Raw genomic sequence first — 21,372 nt, forward strand, 5'->3', positions numbered from 1 at the left:
AATACAAATCACCATTAAAGTACTAAATTGTACAGGGCTGTCCTACAGAAGTGCAGAGAAAAAAAATGACCTTTAGCCAGAATAATCATTGAAGTCTATACGAAAAATTGTCGTTCCAAACAATTTTCAGTAATTTGCAGCCAGTTAGTAAATGACTTTGTTAATGAGGACAACTGACAATAATAGTAAGAAACCAATAGTTCCCTTGCAAGGAAAGGGTCAAATCTATTGAACTAAAGTTGTCACAGGTTGAGTTCCTTGGCAAATTTATAAGGACCCAACACTTATGAGGGAGTGAGGAAGTAGGACTAGGTAGAGAGGGGAGCTGTGATACTCTCATAACAAAGAACTCAGCTCATGGCACAGCGAGTTCTGGGGCTGGGATGGCTTTACGGAATTGTCCTGAATTTGCAGCAAGTGGAACAGACCTTTATAGCACTGCATCAGCCAGTCACTGGGTGTGATTGTCACTTTAGGGAAACTGGGTATCTGGAGAGAAAAAGCCAAACATTTAGACTTTATTATCATCTGAATTCCCCATCCTCCTAATTCATATGCTGAAGTTCTAACCCCTAGTACCTCAGAATATGACCATATTTGAAAATAGGGCCTTTAAAGAGGTAATTAAGTTAAAATGAGGTTATTAGAGTAGACCCTAAGCACGGGGTCCTTACAAGAAGAGGAAATTTGGACACAGATTTGTGCAGAGGGACTTGCACAGATGGAAGACCATGTGAAAACACTGGGAGAAGAATGTCATCTACAAGCCAAGGAGAGAGGGCTGGAACGTATCTTTCCCTCAATGTCCAAAACAGGAACCAACCCTGCCTACACCTTGATCTCAGCCTTCTAGCCTTCAGCACTGTGAGATGATACCTTCTTTCATTTAAGCCACCCAGTCTATGGTACTTCGTTATGGCAGCCTTAGCAAACTAATACGGATTCCTCATCAGGTTCAGATTTTGCTAAATAAAATGTGTTTGTGAGGGTGGTACAAGCAACAGTGATATATTTCTTTAAGTATTTTCCCCCAGCCAAATTCCAACAAGACAATAATGTCTAATGCACTGTCTGGTGAATCGGAAAATCTCCTGAATGAAATAAGAGCCTCTAATACCCAAAAGGGAATGAAGTGAGTCATCACCACAGCCTGTGAATGAAAATAACTGCTCTGAGAAAACACATGTAAAAAATGACACCATGTGGATTAAATAGGGAAACACAAGTATATCCAGATAAATTGGGTGTTTTCCCTGTACCAATTACAGCTATTCTATAAATCCCAGATTATAAATCTTCATTCTTGCCTTTCTCTTGATCCTTCTCAGCTAGTTTGTCATGAAATATTATTTCTTTCTTTCTTATGTCTTTATATGGTAATCCGGTTCGACCATAAAAACAAAAATCTTGGAAGCACTATTCTTTTGTTTGAAGAAAAGATTTGGCCCAACTAAGGTTCTGTTATTTCAAGTAATATTTGATCACAAATTCTATCAAAACATCAGCTGACCCAATCTCATGCCCTCGAATCCACCCATTTTGCTACCAGTTAGTTTTTAGAATGTAGCTCTGATTGGTCCCTTTCCATGTTTAAAGACTACCATTAGTCACCCACCAGCTATTGACTGAAGCCCAAAGTCCTTGATCTGGCAGAACCTTCACAGCCTAGAATCAGTTCTGCATTTTCAGACTGTAGTCATCCTCCACCCCACCACCATATACTCTGCTTGCTAATAGGTGGCTATGCTTCATTCTCCAGACACTGTTCCATAGCATGTACGTATGACACTATCATTGCACATTATGTTTATGATAGGTAATATGTCTGACTTTATCATCATATTATACTCACCTTGGAGTCTAAGACCTGGTCTTCCACTTTCTTCAGTATCACCAGTGGCAGTGGCACAGGAGTAGTAACATTCAATCATTTTTCACCTTCTCAGAGAGGCCTTCACTTAATTCCTTAGCTAGGATAATAATTCTCTCTCCCCACACCTTGTCCTGCTTTATTTTTCTTCTTGGCACTATCAACATCAGACATATGACATATATTTTCAGGGTCACGTATTTTATAATCTCTCTCTTCCCACTTGAAAATAAATTCCAAAAAGTCAGGACTTTGGCCCATTCACTGTTCTATCCTCAGTGCCTAGATATGTGGCATACAAGAGACACTCAATAAATATTTTCTGAATAAGTGAATTCATTCAGCAAATATTTATTGGCAGTTTACTATGTGCCATGAAATATTATAGAAACCAGCAATCCAGCAGTGAACCAACAAAGGCCTTTCTCTCGTGGAACTCAATACTCTCTGGAAGAAGGCAAAAGCAAAAATAAGAAAACAAAAATCTCATTTTATATAACTTCAGATAGTGCTAGTAGGTATGCAATTACTATTTCTGTAATTGAATAGAACTTACACTGATTCAGGATTCACAAATATTTTGTGAATAACTTAATTTTTTTCAGGTATTACCAAAAGTAATATATGAATTAATTTATTTTTGGAACTAAAGTCAATACAAGAATAAACTGTAAAAGAAAGCATCATAACATAATACCCCTGTAGCAATAAAAATAATGTATTTTAAAAGATAGAATTTTCAAATGTGTTACATAAAACAAGACAAAATAAAGTTTCATTAGAAGCATAGCACAGGGACACTTTTATGAAGCATATAACATCAGAAGCAGTAGAAAGCAGCTTTGACTAAGTCTTTTGATATGACACATATAAAGGGATAAAACTGGGGAGAATTTTTGTTTGTAAAATATATTAGCACTGCTTAATAAGAATAATCGTCGATTTATATAGTACTCGGAAATCCATTAATGCAAGTGATATTACAGATTGGCATACATCTTACTATCTTCAAAAAAAATCCAAACTTTGCCACAGCATTATTTGGTACCTGATATGTCAAGCCCTATATCTGTTGTCATTCTGAACTGGAAATCTAGTCTTTTATGTGGCCAAAGATATTTAGTGGTATTTTAGGATTTTAAAAAAATACTGAGCCCTAGTTATAATAGAAAAAATTCTATAACATGACTTATTAACTTGAAGTCCTCCACTTCTGATTAGCCTGGTCCAGAGGTAAAGGAGTACGAAGAGCCACCTAAAAAGCATAGTGTTTGGGAATGTGGATTGGTGACTCATATTTGGACTTCATTAATAAGAGAGGTTGGGTTCCCTAGGGAGAAAGGACTGTTATCAAAAGCTACTAGAGGCTAGAGAGTCAGAGAATCTCTTTAATAAAATATGAAAGGTGAGGAAATATAAGTAACTCTATAATCTAAATGTAACGTGGCATAAACACTTAATTCTGAACTTGTATAACTGAAATATATAGCATCTGTAAAGACCATGTTTCCAAAATTTTGTATAAGTTTCATAGAATAATGTTGAATTGATATTATTATTTTTAGCATACTAAATTTTAAGCTGGTTAATGCCAAATTCCAAGATTTTTACATTTTAATTTTATTCCTAAAGGAAAGGAAAAAGAAGAAATTCTTGAAACTTCAATAATTAATATTATTTCTACTACTTCCTTCAAATTTTGTCACAATAAAAAAATCACAGAAGCAGGAAAACAATTTTTAAAAGCAGCTCAAGGCAATTAATCATTTGAAATACAACTACTTCAAGGAAAGTCAGGACAAACCAAAATCCATCTTGGCTCATGAAAAAACAAAACCTTATTGTTTGCAAATGTCTTGAGAGACCTCTTGAGAGATCTTTATTTTTTTCTATGAGAGTACAAATAATAAATAAATATTTTTAAATGAAAATGGGTAAAAGTTTTGAGAATTTGTATTTAATACTTAGTATACCACCTTGATGTAACTACCATTTATTTATTTGTTTCCCCTCTCCCTGATTCATTTCTGTTGAGACAGATCAAAACTTCTCGAAGTTGACTAGTTTCACATGGAAGCTAGAAGACCAAATACAGGACTATACCCATAAAGAAGAGTCACCTGGCATGAGAAGGTGAAACTCATGATTACTCTACAAGTCTTCAACATGTAGTTACCTTCCATTATTTATTAATATTATTCCCACCAAAAGAGAACTCTGATCCAGTTATTCAGTGTGCCGTACTGGCTTGGAAACATTCAATACTCCCCATCACCACTACAAGCACTACAGAGATCCAAAGATTCTCACCCCTTCCAACATCCTTAACCAAAAGACATATTCAGAAACAGGAAATAACAAAAGTTTCATACTCTCTCTTTTTTATTGAGACCTCTGAAGACCTCCCACCCACCCTCACAAACACTCACACACCCATGACTAGAATTACAGTTGTTATTTCAATGGGAAGAAATGACGCGGGGCAGGAAATGAGAATCTGTTAGATGAGAAGAGCAGTCTTCTCATCCTAATATTTGAGACATTCCTCTTTCATTTTCCTATGACTCATGCTTCTTTCTTTCTGGCATCTTGTTGGAGGAGGAGGAGGAGGTGGGCAAACCCAGTGTTTTGACCAAAAAAAAAAAAATCTTAATACCAAAAGCAATAGAAAATTCCAAGAAATGTATGGAGAAAACAAGGGCTATTGGTCTAAAAATCTATAGTTAGTACAAACTGACACTGGGTAACTGGGTAGCTTCAAGTAGTCTCAGTTAACAGAATTCATGTTTGTATTGTAAAAAGGAAAGATCTAGAAAATCTGATTTAAACTAAACAATAAACTTCAAAAATAAAAGCAAATTTGTCTGTTTCTGAGATAGGGTTTTGGAGAATGATGTTCTAACATTTGTTTGTAATGGAAAAATAAGAACTAACTAGATTTGTAAATATGCGCTGACCTGACAAAAAACTCTAATGAATGGCTTATAACAGACATGGAAAGTTATGGTTGAGAAAATTTTTTTCAAAAAGAACATAACAGGGAGCAGAGAACGAAATTTAATTTTGGAAGAGTAAAATTTGCCATTTGGAGATCATTCACTCATTCAACAAGTATTTAATGAGTTCCTACCATGTACCAGACACAAACTAGGTCTTGGTTTTATGGTGGTGGGGAAAAAAAATGTCATGATCTTTACTCTTTGGCACTAATTTTTTAATACTGAAGAATAAATTTGAATGAGTATCCTTGGGGCTGTGGTGTATTAGTCCATTTTTACACTGCTAATAAAAAATCCTAGAAGAAAACCTAGGCAATACCATTCAGGACATAGGCATGGGCAAGGACTTCATGTCTAAAACACCAAAAGCAATGGCAACAAAAGCCAAAATTGACAAATGGGATCTAACTAAACTAAAGAGCTTCTGCACAGCAAAAGAAACTACCATCAGAGTGAACAGGCAAACTACAGAATGGGAGAAAATTTTCACAACCTACTCATCTGACAAAGGGCTGATATCCAGAATCTACAATGAACTCAAACAAATTTACAAGAAAAATACAAACAACCCCATCAAAAAGTGGGCGAAGGGCATGAACAGACACTTCTCAAAAGAAGACATTTATGCAGCCAAAAAACACATGAAAAAATGCTCATCATCACTGGCCATCAGAGAAATGCAAATCAAAACCACAATGAGATAGATACCATCTCACACCAGTTAGAATGGCGATCATTAAAAAGTCAGGAAACAACAGGTCCTGGAGAGGATGTGGAGAAATAGGAACACTTTTACACTGTTGGTGGGACTGTAAACTAGTTCAACCATTGAGGAAGTCAGTGTGGAGATTCCTCAGGGATCTAGAACTAGAAATACCATTTGACTCAGTCATCCCATTACTGGGTATATACCCAAAGGACTATAAATCATGCTGCTATAAAGACACATGCACACGTATGTTTATTGCGGCATTATTCACAATAGCAAAGACTTGGAACCAACCTAAATGTCCAACAATGATAGACTGGATTAAGAAAATGTGGCACATACTATGAAGAAAATGTGGCACATATTAAGAAAATGTGGAATACTATGCAGCCATAAAAAATCATGAGTTCATGTCCGTTGTAGGGACGTGGATGAAACTGGAAATCATCATTCTCAGTAAACTATCGCAAGGACAAAAACCAAACACCGCATGTTCTCACTCATAGGTGGGAATTGAACAATGAGAACACATGGACACAGGAAGGGGAACATCACACTCCGGGGACTGTTGTGGGGTGGGGGGAGGGGGAATGGATAGCATTAGGAGATATACCTAATGCTAAATGATGAGTTAATGGGTGCAGTACACCAACATAGCACATGTATACATACGTAACAAACCTGCACATTGTGCACGTGTACCCTAAAACTTAAAGTATAATAATAATAAAATTAAATTAAAAAAAAGAGACATATCCAAGACTGGGCAATTTACAAAAGAAAGCGGTTTAATGGGACTTACAGTTCCACGTGGCTGGGGAAGTCTCACAATCATGGTAGAAGGCAAGGAGGAGCAAGTCACGTCTTACATGGATGGCATCAGGCAAAGCAAGAGCTTGTGCAGGGAAACTCTCATTTTTTAAATTGGATTATGAGGAAGTCTTCTATGAGAATAATATAAACTAAAGCCTAAAAGAGAGAAAGAGAGAGTGAGGAGAAGAGAGTTTTAGGCCAAAACAAACAAACAAACAAACAAACACAAACCAACCTTCAAAAAACTAAAATAGGTATGGCTAAATAGTGAGAGAAAGTTTTTAGGAAGTTGGAGAAGCAGGCTATTGTAATAGACATGTATTGTCTTGTGTATTATGGGAAAGCATTTGAAATCCTAGAGGGGTTTTTAAAAGTCAGAGATTTAAGATTTTACAAAGATCTCTTCAAATGCTGAATGGAGAAACAACTGAATAAAGGACAAGAGTGGAAACAGAGAGAACAGATAAAGAAAAGATACAATGAGATTGTAGCTTAGCTAGTAGAAGGACAGTTAAGTTGGAGAGAAGTGAATTGACTCAAATATATTTTGGAAATTGAACAGATGACATTTCTGACAGACTGGATATTAAAGATAAGAGAAAGGGATATATCAAGAACCATTCATAGGCTTTGGCAAGAATATATAAATTGGTGGGAATTCTATTTACTGATGACAGAAAGGTGCAAGGAACAGCAGATTTGAATGGGAAATAGAATGTTTAATATTAAACATGTAAAGTTTGAGATACCTGGAAGTAATTTTAGGGGGAATGTTAAGTAAGCATTTGTTTGTTGGGTCTAGAGTTCTAAAGGGAGGAATGTGTTGAAGAGATTAAGCTACAGAGTCTTTGACATACAATTAGTAGTTAAATCCTTGGTAATGGTTGACATCACCAAGGTTAATACTCCACTGGTATGCACCAGTACAGCCAAAATGGTCCTTGACCTTTCTATACCCAGTTAGTAAATAGATCAGACTCTAAGTATGGGTTTGATAGCAGATTAGATACATTTGAAGAAAGTGTTAGTGAAATAGAAAATAAGTCAGAAGAAAATATCCAGAATAAAAAAAAAAGCAGAAAGACAAAAAGATAGGAAATATAAAAGATAGGATAGGAGATTTAGAGGATATAGTGAGTAGGTCTAACATAGGCTTAATTGGAGCCCTAAACAGAGAAGAGAGAATTGGGATAGTATTATCTGAAAGGATAATGATTGAGGAATTTCTGCGACTGATGCAAGGCATCAATCCACAGGTTGAAAAAGAGCTCCAAACCCCAACTAGGATTAAAAAGATACACAATTTAAACATCATAGAAAAACTGCAGAAAATAAAAGACAAATAAGAAATATTAAAACCAATCTGAGAAAAAGAGGCAGATTACTTTAGGAATAAAAATCAGACTGACAGCTTGCTTCTCAAAAGAAACAATGAGAACCAAAAGTTAATGGAAGGATATTGTTCATGTGCTTAACAAAAATAATTGGCAAACTAGAAAGCTATACCTCCCCAAATAAATATAGAGAATAAAGGTAAAATAAAATTATCTTCAGACAAAATCTAAAAGATATATAAACCAAACTAAAGGAAATACTAAAGAATATTCTTCAGGAAAAAGGGAAATGATTTAGATGGAAGATTAGAAATGTAGAAAAAAGGAAAACAACAAAAATGATAATATGTGGAAAGATGTAGATGAACATCGACTGTATAAATATAGAAAGAATTAAAATGCACAAAAATAACAGCATGTAACTTGGAAGGTCAGTAAATATTGCTCATTTATTCTAATTCATTCTAATTAATATAGCTACTATTAATTAATATTAGATATAATAAGTAAGGGATTCAGGCTATAAGCTCTAGAGTAATCACTAAAAACTGCAGAAAACAAAAGACAAATAGGATCTTTTTTTTTTTGGGGAGATGAAGTCTTGCTATGTTGCCCAGGCTGGTCTTGAATTCCTGGGCTCAAGCGATTGTCCTGCCTCAGCTTCCCAAAGTGCTGGGATTACAGGTGCGAGCTATTGTGGCCCACAAATGGGAAAGCTTAAAACCAACCAGAGGAAAAAGGGCAGATTACCTTTAAAGGATTAAAATTCAAATTGATAGCTTGCTCAGTAAAAGAATATAAATAGTAAAAGAATACAAAATTCCTGGATCAATTGAGGAAAAAATATAATAATAAACGAAAGTAAGCCAAGCACAGAATACAGAACAAGTGCAACAAATAGAAAACACATGGTAAGATGATATAAATACAACTATAAAAATAAATACAATACATATAAATTAAATGCTTCAATTAAAATAATGATTTTCATTTATATTTAAAAACAAACTATAGACTGTTTGCAAAAGACACAGCCAGATCATAAGAAAGCATACAGAAAAATTGAAAGAAAGGATCAAAATAATTTTGCCATGCCAACACTAAGGAAAACAAAGGTGATATAACTAAATTAACATCAAATTAGACTTTACAGCTAAAAGTATCACTGGAGATAAGAAGGATCCTTCATAATGATTAAAAGATTTAATTCACAAATAAGATATTACTATTTTGAATTCATATAAACCTAATAACATGGCCTCAAAATAAAAAGACTGACAAAAATAAGGATAAATAGACAAATCTATAATCATAGTGGCAGAGGTTTATGGTCACCTTTTAGGAACTGCTATGGTTTGAACATGGTTTGTCCCTTCCAACATTCTGTTGAAATTTAATTGCCAATGTAACAGGGTTGTGAGGTGGGGGCCTTTAAGAGGGGATTAGATCATTGTGTGCTGCCTATTCTGCTTGACCCCAAGATCTATTTTCTGCCTTTCTCAATCTCAGGAGGCTGACCACTATATTCTGCAAACTTAGCCTTCTGATAGAGTTCAGACAAGGAGAGGCACTGGTAAGAGACAGAATTGTAGGAGGAAAACAAGGAATCAGGCCATCGTTCCTTTGTTTCCTCTCTGCCTCAACGCTATAGTTGTGGCAGGGGCTATGTCCCTCTACAAGCACACCTCTTATCATAAGATCCATTCATTCCTATTAATTCTATATGCTTAGGCTCCTTTCCTGTGAATATATCAAGCCCAGTAATGGCAATGGCTTCTTATTGTTAGTACCTGAGAGCTTCAGAATCCTTTGTTGGGTTCCCTAACAACATACCTTTAGATATTTCCTTCATTAAATTCTCTACAAAATCAAAGCTGTACATACCTTTTCTTTTCCTTCCAGGACATTTGTTTCCGTTAAAGACTAATAGGATTAATAGCTCCCTGAGGAGATTCATCAAGAAACAAAAACAGAATACACAAATAATCAATGTTAGGAATAAAAATGTGTATATTACTACAGATCTTTCAGTCCTTGAAAAATTTTAGCAAAGAAAATTCATCAATTGATAAATAGAATGATGATTATGTTTAAATTGAGTTTATTTTAGGCATACAAAATTGATATACTGTTTGAAAAATTTGAAAAATTCTATGTAATTCCTATTACAGAATAAAAGATTATAGATGATCTTTTATGAGTATGAATAATCTTTTATTCTATAATAGGAATTGCATAGAAATATTTTTCATAAAAATGAAAGATTACAGATAATCTTTTATTCTGTAATAGGAATTACATAGGATTATAGAATTATTTTTCTTTTCTTTTCTTTTCTTTTCTTGTTTTTTGAGATAAGAGTCTCACTCTGTCACCCAGGCTGGAGTGCAGTGGCAGATCTCGGCTCACCACAACCTCCGTCTCCAGGGTTCAAGTGATTCTCCTGTAATCCCAGCACTTTGGGAGGCCGAGATGAGTGGATCACCTAAGGTCAGGAGTTCGAGACCAGTCTGGCCAACACGATGAAACCCTGTCTCTACTAAAAATACAAAAATATTAGCTGGGCTTGGTGGCGCATGCCTGCAGTCCCAGCTACTTGGGAGGCTGAAGCAGGAGAGTCGCTTGAACCCCGTGTTTACATTTGTAAAACAGATTTTACTTGAATGAGTAGTAAATGCTATGAAGAAAATGTCATTCAGTAAGTGTATGTAACAATAGAATCTGAACTAAAATTGGATGGTCAGAGAAAAAGAGTAAAAGTGGTTATGTATAGTTACCTTTGACAACTGGAGTCACTCATTCTCTCTTCAAATTCTCAGAGAACTGGTATGTGTTACTAATAACTAAATATTTGTTTCTCAAAATATGTGGAAAAAGTAGATAAGAGAAATATACACAAGAAAACACACTGTTTCATACTGAGTGGATAATCATTTTTACAATGTCAATGCTCAAGATTTCTTTTAGGAAAATTTTATGTGAATTCTTATTTTTGTTTAGTTTCATGTCTCTCTCAGTGTTTTTTCTGAAGCACAGCAGACTAACTGGCTGGAACAAAGCAAGGATGGGCCCATTGTTCCCATCACTTCAAAAGTTTCCCTGTGCAGAGTGCTGAATAGTTAATACCTCCAGAGAAAACTAATCAGAAGCACAGCTGTTCAACAGGAATGAGAGGTTATGGAAAGCAGAGGCTCAGGAATGACAGCAGCCAGAAAATTATGGATGATTTTCCAATAGAGTACTGCTTGAAAGTGGGCCAGGAACATTTGGTGTACTGGTCAAGTGAATGCCTCATGTTTCTTGTGACATTAGGTCCCCACAAAGATGTAACGACATTGATGAAGACTGGATGTGGAGGTACTGGTTTGTCACTACAGAACTAAGTGATGATAAAAAGTAAAGCTAGATATCACTACATTTGATATCTCCCATTTGTAAGAAACAAGTAACAGGGATCCTGGAGGCTTAACTAAGAGCAAAAATGTAACACTAAAACATGAATCTTTAAGCTAACAACATTTACACTTCTCCCCCTACCCCATCCAAATCAGAACTTTGTGGCCCACACGTTATTGGGCATAATGGGGATGGGCCTGGGAGAATGACCCACGACCATCTGGCCAAACACAGCTGCAGAAAACAAGCCTCATCATCTGGAAAAAGCTGTGATGGACAGAGAATTGGAAGGGCTGCCAAGAGAAATGGTGGATTCCTCACTAGAAACACTAGAAACACTCGGTATGGGGCCACTCCAACACAGGACAGGCTTTTCCAGTGATGACTGATGCAGGTTGTCCTTTAGGACCTGTCTCTCACGTTACAGTGGGGAAGATGAACCATTAGAGTCATATAATTACTTCCATAGACTTTTTTGGAAATTCAGGTTTTCTGACACAAAATTGGCCTCACACAGCTCCTGTGAATGTCAACACAATTCAAATGCTGGAAAGTGGAGAGCAGTCAGTACAAATAAGTTCTGTTGCTTAAATTCAGCCCTGTCCTCATTTAACATCAGGTCAGCATCAAATGATCTCTGATTTCCTTTCCAGACAAACTGTATAGTTTCCTTTTTCATCAATTTCAAGTAGAGGTAAAAAAGACCACCAAAACTCGGGAGGCTGAGGCAGGATAATCGCTTGAACCAGGGGGTCAGGGGTTGCAGTGAGCCAAGATCGTGCCACTGCACTCCAGCCTGGTGATGGAGCTAGACTCCGTCTCAAAAACAAAACAAAACAAAAAACCCCACTAAAAACAAAAATGTCATCATCACCCTAGCCAAGAGCAAGTGTGAAAAATAGTACACAATCACTTCAAGGTCTTCACAGGAAGCCGAGTGCCTGTGCCTTCTGCTAGTGTTTTAAGAAAAGAAAACTGATAACAAACACCATTTGCCAAGACAAAGGCATAATTTTCTTTGTCAAGATTTTGTCTGGAGTGAAGAATATGAAGGGAAAAAAACCTAAACATGTGGCATAGGTTCTACACAAATGTATCTGAAAAGGAACCTTCTACCACATGCAAAGGAGAGTCTGGTTAGAGGGTGAGAAGCTGCAGTTCTGAGTTTTGGATCTGGGAATGAAGTGCTAGTGCGAGTTGACACCTGTGAAGGTAAGAACAGACTGGAAGAGAACTAAGTAAGGAGAGCAAAAAGTGAAAAGTCCTGGCCAAGACTTTCATTCATTCAAGAAGTTTTACAATACCCATACATCAATTCAATTCAGTTCAAAACAATGATTGGCCATCTACTACAAGTCAAGCACATGCTAAGCACAGTTGAGGGTACAAAGTGAAATAACACGTGATATATCTAAAAAATGTATAGTCTCAGAAAGAAAACTGGTACGTTTTTATGAGTGAAGAGATAGTCCAACTCACTATTCACTTTAGAGGGACTTGAACAAAATGGCATACTAAAAGGGCAGAATTTAGAGTCACCAGACCTGGATTCAAACCCCGACTGTAGCAGTTATAAGATTTTGGGTAATTCACTCAACATTTCTGGCCTTACTTTTCTCACTTGTTAAATAGGAATGATATTTTGCTTGCCTATAGAATGGGTTGAAATGAAGGTGTGTGAGAACTGCAAAGCTCAGACACATGGTTGCTCATAATGGTATCTCACCTAACTACCATCTATTCTAACTCTACTGTGCTGCACCTCACATCCCCAAACACCTCCCAGTCTGCCCACCCTTTCCTTTGCCTATGTAGCCCTCTTACTTGTCTTTCCAGAACTCACATCTTAGGTTAGCTCCACCTGGTAGCTCTCCCTGACCCAAACCTCACCCTTAGAAAAAGATATAGTACACACCCTAATCATATCATTAACAAACTACATTGTAATTCTGTGCTTACTTCCAACTCATTGGATTATGAGCTCCGAGATGGCAGAAACCATGTCTCATGCCTCTTTAAATCCCAATTTAAATCTTTAAATCCCAAGGATTTTCCTTGTAGTGGTGATGGATTTATTCTTTACCCAGTCTTCTTTATAACCAGTAGTACATAGCCAGGTTAGGAATAAAGTTTGTGACCATAAAAGAGGATGAACAACTACCCTCGCACAGCTCTCCTCAGGTCATTAATGGTATGTGCTAATTTCAGTACAACCCAGATAATACACAAGTATGAGGGTCATTATGAATTCATCTAATAAATTGACCACAGGAAGGTACCTAAGAGGTTTGCCTTACTTATTAAAAATACTTCTTTATTTACAACATAAGTAGTATTAATCTCAGCAAGCAAAAACCATAAGAGGATTCATGAAGAGAAAGCTGATGAAAAAGAAGTTCAATCATGTTCCTAATGACATACACAGCTTCCTAAGAACACACCATTGAGTGGTAAGTCCCCTTCTAGATCCTAGGATTAGGGTTCACATTAAGTGAACCAAGTATTGACCAAAATTGAAGATTTTCCTTGTACTTCAGTTTCATCTTTAAATTCTCCTCTTCAGCAGAAAGATACTTGTAGAAAGAATTTCAAATAGGAGGTAAATAGACATACAACGCAAGCCTTGACTTGTTGCTGAGCACAGTAAAACAAGCTGCAGTCTCCCCCAGGGCTATTAAAACTAAATGCTTGAAAGTAGCACAATAAATGTACAATTTAATATAGTATAAATTTGCTTTATATTATAGAACTAGAACCTTGAAAATTCATTGCAATTAATAACCAATTTTTATGGAAAGTTAAAATTACATTTGTCTCTCCAATTTTAAATGCAAATATTTCAAATAATGCTTGGAAACTGGCAAATGGGTCATTTATAAAGTTACTAGTTTTTAGCTGATGTGTCTGCTTCTTGATCAGTAGACTTGACTTCAGTGAAAAGCAGCTAATACACAATAATCTGTTAAAAGACCAATGGCCTACCTCTTTATAGCTGAATGAATGCTACAGAGAGCAGGTTATTTCCACTTGCTTTCATCTCCTTAGTGAATGCAGAATCTGAAATAGGTGTTTGAATACACAGGGTTTGGTTGACCAGGGCCACATTTTGAGGGCAGGGCTATCTGAATGAGAATATGATCATTCTATAGTTATAAGAAGTACAAACTATCTTATAAAAATATAATATTTCATATGGAATTGGACATCAGAAGAGACATTAATCATTACAGAGTACTCAAAAGTCAAGTTTAGCATAAAAATTATTACTCTATATTTTCAGCTCTTGGCAATTTGAAGCCTTATTTTAAAGGATCTTTTAATGTTAAAGAGGTCTTTCCAGACCATACGTCTGAAAATGAAAATAAAATATCCAAACGTACTCTATCAGATTTTACTTTTTGGTAGACAGACATTGGAAATAAATTTATAAACAGAAAAATGTGCTAGCTATAATAAATAAAAAATTGGAAAAAGTAGTTCTTTCCATCTCTCTCTCTTTTTTTAAACAAAGGCTGCCTATAAACTCCACATCCTTCCCCAAATATACTTTGGCACTGCTAGGGAAAGCATTTCTGGTATGTAACAAATCACAACCAATTGTTCTGTTATGGAATAAAAAAAGTCAATATTTTGCTGTCATTGCTAAAAATTCTACAATAAAAGCAGCCTTTCACTACCCACAAGCTAATACTTTCTAGCAAAAAGAATTTGTTTATTATACTATTTGTTCCCTCTTAAGAGGGAACAAAAGCATCCTAAATTTGTTTCCCAAAATAAAAATAGAAAGATGGAGCTTCTTTGATATTAGCTCATGAACAAACTAAAACACAGAGGACAGAAATAAATCAATAAATCTATTCTATAAAAAATTTCTTAATAAAATATAAAATTCTGGTTATGCAAAGATGCTATCATTGGGGGAAGTTGGTAAATGGTGCACAAGAATACTCTACTATTTTTGTAACTTTTAGTGAATCTAAAATTATTTCAAAACAAATGCTAAAAAAGCAGAGTTACCATTTCACCTATCCTGGCCTGTATCCTATATATGAAAGTACTGAGTGAGTAGAAAAGTCTTTTGCCATTCATCATTGCAAATGCCCACCTAGAACACTAAGGTTTAGAGTTTATACATTTAGAATGCTATAGTCCACGTAGCCTCTGAATAGAGGAAGCAGTACCACAATGAATAACAGACATAACAATACTTTTAGTCACTTGCCAAAGAAAAGACGCTTGCCAAAGAAAAGACTCTAACTGGAGTGAGCTCTGACAGAATTATTAGTCATCCTCAGAAATTCCATCAGCACAATCACTATGGATAATAAATAATCATCTCAGGGTCAGTCAGAAGAAACATATAGAATCTCAGGAATAAAAAAATTGCATATTGCCTGTAATCCCAGCACTTTGAGAGGCCGAAGAGGGTGGATCACCTGAGGTCAGGAGTTCGAGACCAGCCTGGCCAATATGGTGAAACCCCGTCTCTACTAAAAATACAAAAAATTAGCAGGCCATGGTGGCAGGTGCCTGTAATCCCAGCTACTAGGGAAGCTGAGGCAGGAGAATCGCGTGAACTCCAGAGGCGGAGGTTGCAGTGAGCCAAGATCACGCCATTGCATTCCAGCTTGGGCAACAAGAGCAAAACTCCGTCAAAAAAAAAAAGAATTGCATCTTACCCATGGGGCAGATCTAAACCGCTATTGTTCACCCATATTCGTGCACTAGTATATTCAGTGAAATTTTGAGCTATGTACAAAACTGAGCAAACACAAGGTGTATATATATATATAATATAACATAATATATTATATATATTATATTTATGTTATATAATATATAAATATATTATATATATAACATAAATATAATATATATATTATATTTATATTATATATTATATATATTTATATATAATGTGTGTATATACATATATATATATACACACATAAAAATTATATCTGTTTGGGACAGAAAAAATAGTAAATGTGCTTATCCTAGGAGCTTTAAGTTCTTTTCTAACAAATCTGAAGGTGAGCTACAATTTTCTATTCTTCTTTTTCTATTCTTCTATTCTTCCCTCACTGTTTACAAATGAAAGTAATTCACAGCTACCCTGCACCCTGAGCTCTGTATATTTTCTTTTTTTAAAAAAAAAAAGTCAGCGTCCCTATAGGAAACAGATGGCACACTGAAGGCAGAAGAGTTTGAGGATGCTTTATTTATAACAAGATGTATACAATGTGTGGAAGGATGTGAGGGGAGAGGCAGTAAGTAGGTCACTTGAAGGCTCACAACGCCCAAGGATCTGTTAATACTCCTAAGCACAGTGGAAGGGGAGTGAGGTGACCGTAACCCAAGAGGAAACTCGTCATGTCAGATGGTCACCTTTGAAAGAGAGACAGCCACTGAAAGTAAACTCAGGAAAAATGCCCAGAAATATGAGCAAGGCTCCCACTGACCAAAAGCATCCAGAAGCTAGAGGCACCAGAGTCTGACTAGTCTATACCTATCAAGTTTCTAGGGGCCAAAGCGGGGTGAAGCAGGTATGAATAAAAAGAGACAGATCTGGAGAGGTGACTCCAACCTAGCCAGTACACCTTTGACACCTTATGAACAGTGTGCTAAACTCATTCTTGTTTTCATGGTAGCAGAAATGAAAATAATAATGTAAATCATCAAATATGAAAAAATACAGAATGTAATATCTACTATAGACATTCAAAATACATTTGTAATCTCTGATACTTGTGTAAGATAACCTCCAAGTGTTAGTGTGATTTTGGGAAAACATTTTAACTTTAACCTAAATAAAGCCAATTAGTGAAGATATACCTGATTTTATAAATACAGTTGTGCATTGCTTAATGACAGGGAAATGTTCTGAGAAATGCTTCATTAGGCAATTTCATCACTGTACAAACATCATAGAGTGACTTCACAAACCTGGATGGTACAGCCTGCTACACACCTAGGCTATAAGGTGTGAACTATTGCTCCTAGGCTATAAACCTACACAGCATGTTACTGTACTGAATATTGTGGGCAACTATAACATTATGGTAAGTATTTGTGTATCAAAACATACCTAAATATAGAAAAAACACAGTGAAACTATCTTTTAAAAGATAAAAAATGGTACACCTGTATAGGGCACTTACCATGAATGGAGCTTGCAGGACTGGAAGCTGGTCTGGGTGGGTCAGTGAATAAGTAAGTGGTGAGTGAATGGGAAGGCCTAGCACATTATTGTACACTACGGTAGACTTTATAAACACTGTACACTTTTCCTACATTAAATGTTATTTTAAAAATGCTTTATTCAATAATAAATTAACCTCAGCTTACTGAAACTTTTTTACTTTATAAACTTTTTGATTTTTTTAACTTTTCGATTCTTTTGTAATAACAGCTTAAAACAAAAACACAATTGCAGAGCTACACAAAGTATTTTTTCTTCATATTATTATTCTATAAGCTTTTTTCTATTTTTAAAATAATTGTTTTTAATGTTTTAAACTTCATTTAAACTAAGACACAAACACACTGGCCTAGGCCTATGATATCAGTGTCTTCTGCCTCCACATTTTGTCCCACTGGAAGGTCTTCAGGGGGAATAACATACATGGAGCTGTTATCTCCTATGGTAACAATGCCTTCTTCTGGAGCACTCCTGAAGGACCTGCCTGAAGCTGTTTTACAGATAACTTCTTTTTATAAGTAGAAGAAGTATACTCTAAAATAATGATTAAAAGCATAGTATAATAAATCAACCAGTAACATAGTCATTTATTGTCATTATCAAGAATTATGTACCGTACATAACTGTATGTGCTGGACTTTGATATACCTGGCTGTACAGATTTGTTTATATCAGCATCACTACAAACACAGAAGTAATGTGCTGCACTATGACATGGCAACAGCTACATCATTGGGTGACAGAAATTTTTCAGATCCATTATAATTTTATGGAACCACCATAGTATATGTGGTTCACCACTGACAGAAACATCATTATGTGGTATGTGACTGTACACATATGATTGGTTGCAAAAATTAATAAATGGTTTTAAATTATCTTGCTTTTTTATTATCTCAGCCACCAAACACTGACATTACCATGAAGACTCAGTAGTTTCCTAATTATATCCTACATATTGTTTTAAAAAAACCATCCTTGTGTGTCATATTCTAAGAGGTAGGAGATAGAGAACCAGGCAAAGCGTTAAAGATGCAAGGGTGGGATTCCACATCATACATCATTCCTGTGGAGATACATCATGTTAATTAATATCGCTTTTTCCATTTACAAAAACAAACCATGCCTCTCAGATAAAGACTTGAGAAGATATGATGATATTAATTTGCTATTTCTGTCTAGTAACTGGGGCCATAGTGAGATCCCACAAATAGATTTACTCAGGACATACATCAATTAGTGTGGTCATTTTTTGAAAACACCAAGAGCTAAAAATAAATTCAAGTGCCTTCTTATTTTCTTTGAAACATTTTTCGTTTTCTCAAGATAAAATATTTGAAATAAATTAACAGAATCTAGTTTGTTGCCTAGTCCAGCATTGTCCCTCCAAAGGGAGGCTTAAAAAAATATATGCTGAATGAATGACAGTGGTATTCCCCAATTCTGAGGACTTTTAACATTTACAGTGTGTGTCCTACAACCAAGGACTTAACAATTAACTGTGTGATAGGATTAAAATACCATAGTTTTGTATCAGCTACTGTATTCTGCCATCCCAGGAATTTAACTTTCCTGTGTTTAAAAAATAGGAGGGTGGCGGGAAAAAGGGTCAAATGTCTGCTGAATACAGGAAATCCATAGCAGGCTGTAAACCAGAAAACATCAAAAGCTGCACCAGAAACTCTGGACAGATGAAAACTGTGAGACTCCATTTCTTACTACTGTTTAATGAGAAAGGCAATAAATTCAACATGAAAACCACAACTTGTACTCTCTCGTCAGGATCTCCTCAAAAATATGTGCAGAAAAGATGGTTAAAATGCTTCCAGGCTTGCCTGGGAAGAAAGAAAATATGTGTTTGGGTCATACTCAAATATAGCACCAGACATACTTGTTCCCAACACCTGGAGATGTGACCATGAGGAAACTGTCACAGTGAGGGCATCTAATTGGCATCAAACTTCAAGAAGAACTAAGACACGAAAGGAAGTCTGAATATCCTGCCAAAATACCATCGGGTGCAGAAGATTAGAGGTGGTCTGCTATGGTATGAAGTGACCTCAGGAGATTCTGGCTGATAGCAACTGATTCCCAGGGCTGAGAATTTCAGAGCCAATTAAACATTCATATGGTAGAAACCTTGGAGGTCTGACCATATCGAATATTTTCAAACTCCTAACCATATTGTGGGAAAGTCTGAGTGGAAATTAAAGAGGTGACATGACTGGACTCCCAGACAAATAAGACAAGTATGTGGCTGCCTATCAGATCAAAATGATTCCCCACATGGAAAGGATTCTCTAAGTGTGGCCAGACTTGTAAACTAGAGCCAACAATTCTCCAGTCTTACATTATAGTCAGACAAAAACAGTGTCCTAAGAAGAAAGAGCCAAAAATCTCGCTGCAACTTTTCCCCTGCCCTTGATTCTTCTTTGCTCATCAGGTGACTGGTTTTGTGTTGTGCGCCTCTCTGTGTGCTTAGTGCACAGCTGTGCATTGTATAAGAACATATAAAAGGCTTGTGCTGGTGCCTATTAGCAGCAACTTTCCTGAGAGGGACAGGGTTAGGGAAGAAAATCAGTATGAGCTTACTTTTCTGTCTCCACATCTCAGTTATTATGAAGAGATAAAATTTGATGAAATGAGGATTAGGAGCAGTGATTTTAAAATGATATCAGAAAATTGCAGCTTGAGGGTGAAATGAGAGAAATTCTATCCCTTTTGGCATAAAATGGCAAAACTGTGGATTGATTATATTTGTGTAAGTCCTTTTGTGCATCTGTTGGCAGGATGACTTCCTTCTTCCCATCACCCACTTCCCTAAGTCATTTCCCTGACACTAGCACAAAAAATAGAGATGAAAGTTTAGGGAAAATTCTTTTACTATCTAGAGATAGCTCTGATCATAGACATGACTATGCTTTAATAAGAACAGTGAATCCTGAAGCAGACAGTAATGAAAACAATCCAGGATTCCAGCTTATAATTAAGCATGCTTAAGCTTTAGTGATAATTACCATGGAGATTTTAATTCCCCTCAGCCAATTAGCTTAGTTAGTGAGTGCAAGCGAAACCGAGGTCATGGTTTTCTGTACTTTATAAACCAAATCTGGATTTGATTAATTCTGTGACTACAGGCTATACTAGCATTTTCTCAAATTGTACCAAAGACAATGGGCAAACCCACGTAGGTTAGAAAGAAAACAGTCTAAAATGCCCAAACTTATGGTCAGAAGCCTAGGTTGAGATATTGGTTTCCCCAGTGACTACTTATGCAGCCTTGGGACAACTCAATTTTTCTGAGGCTCTGTTGCTTCACCTGAGAAATGAATATTTAAAATATCTTGTCTTAAAGAACTGTTACAAAGATCAAGTGGGTCAATTATATGAAGACACCTCATAATGTATAGTCAACTACCTCCCATCCAAGTACTAACCAGGCCCGACCCTGCTTAGCTTCCAAAATGAGACAACATCGAGCGTATTCAGGGTGGTAGGTATAGCCATAGACATTCCTCCAATAACTGGTATGAAAAAATAAATTGTTATTGAGGAATCAGCTGACTTAACATTATCTTAGAGTGAAAAGTAGCACATCTAAATTTGCATAAAAGACCACTCTAATTATGTAAATACTTGTTGAACTAAAGAAAGAAAGTGATATGTCAGTAATTTCAAATAAACGATTCCTTTGCAAGTCAATTTCCTAGCCCTGTGGTTTCCAAGAGGTGTTTTCGTACAAGCCCAGGGATCTTTGAAGAAGCAGCAGCTCAGAGGAAAGAGAAAGACAAGTAAACAGAGCTCCAGAACTCTCACCCCTGACTTCAATCAGAGCACCTATTGGTATATACAAGATTTTCAAACTTGCAAACGTTTACCATAAATATTCAGCTCTCCAGATTGCTTTGTGTGTCCTAATACCCAGATCCTGCCTAGTGAATCTCTGCCGTATCCCAGCATTTCTTTGGCATACCTCTCTTAAAATTTAAGAGGAAATATTACTGATGGTATAGTTCACCAAACATCTTAAATCTCAGACAGGTATGTTG

The 21,372-nt window shown here is 36.1% G+C and overlaps 1 long non-coding RNA gene across 1 annotated transcript in view; it reads right to left on the bottom strand.

Moving 5' to 3' along the window:
* Positions 1–6,348: 6,348 nt before the first annotated feature.
* LOC124900637 (uncharacterized) overlaps positions 6,349–21,372 on the bottom strand; it is a 34,506-nt gene continuing 19,482 nt past the window's right edge. Inside the window, exon 2 of the long non-coding RNA XR_007058725.1 lies at positions 6,349–6,547. This is a non-coding gene — a long non-coding RNA (uncharacterized LOC124900637). The remainder of the gene's footprint in view (positions 6,548–21,372) is intronic.

Source organism: Homo sapiens, chromosome 5 (genome assembly GCF_000001405.40).
Source record: "Homo sapiens chromosome 5, GRCh38.p14 Primary Assembly".
NCBI classification, from domain to species: domain Eukaryota; kingdom Metazoa; phylum Chordata; class Mammalia; order Primates; family Hominidae; genus Homo; species Homo sapiens.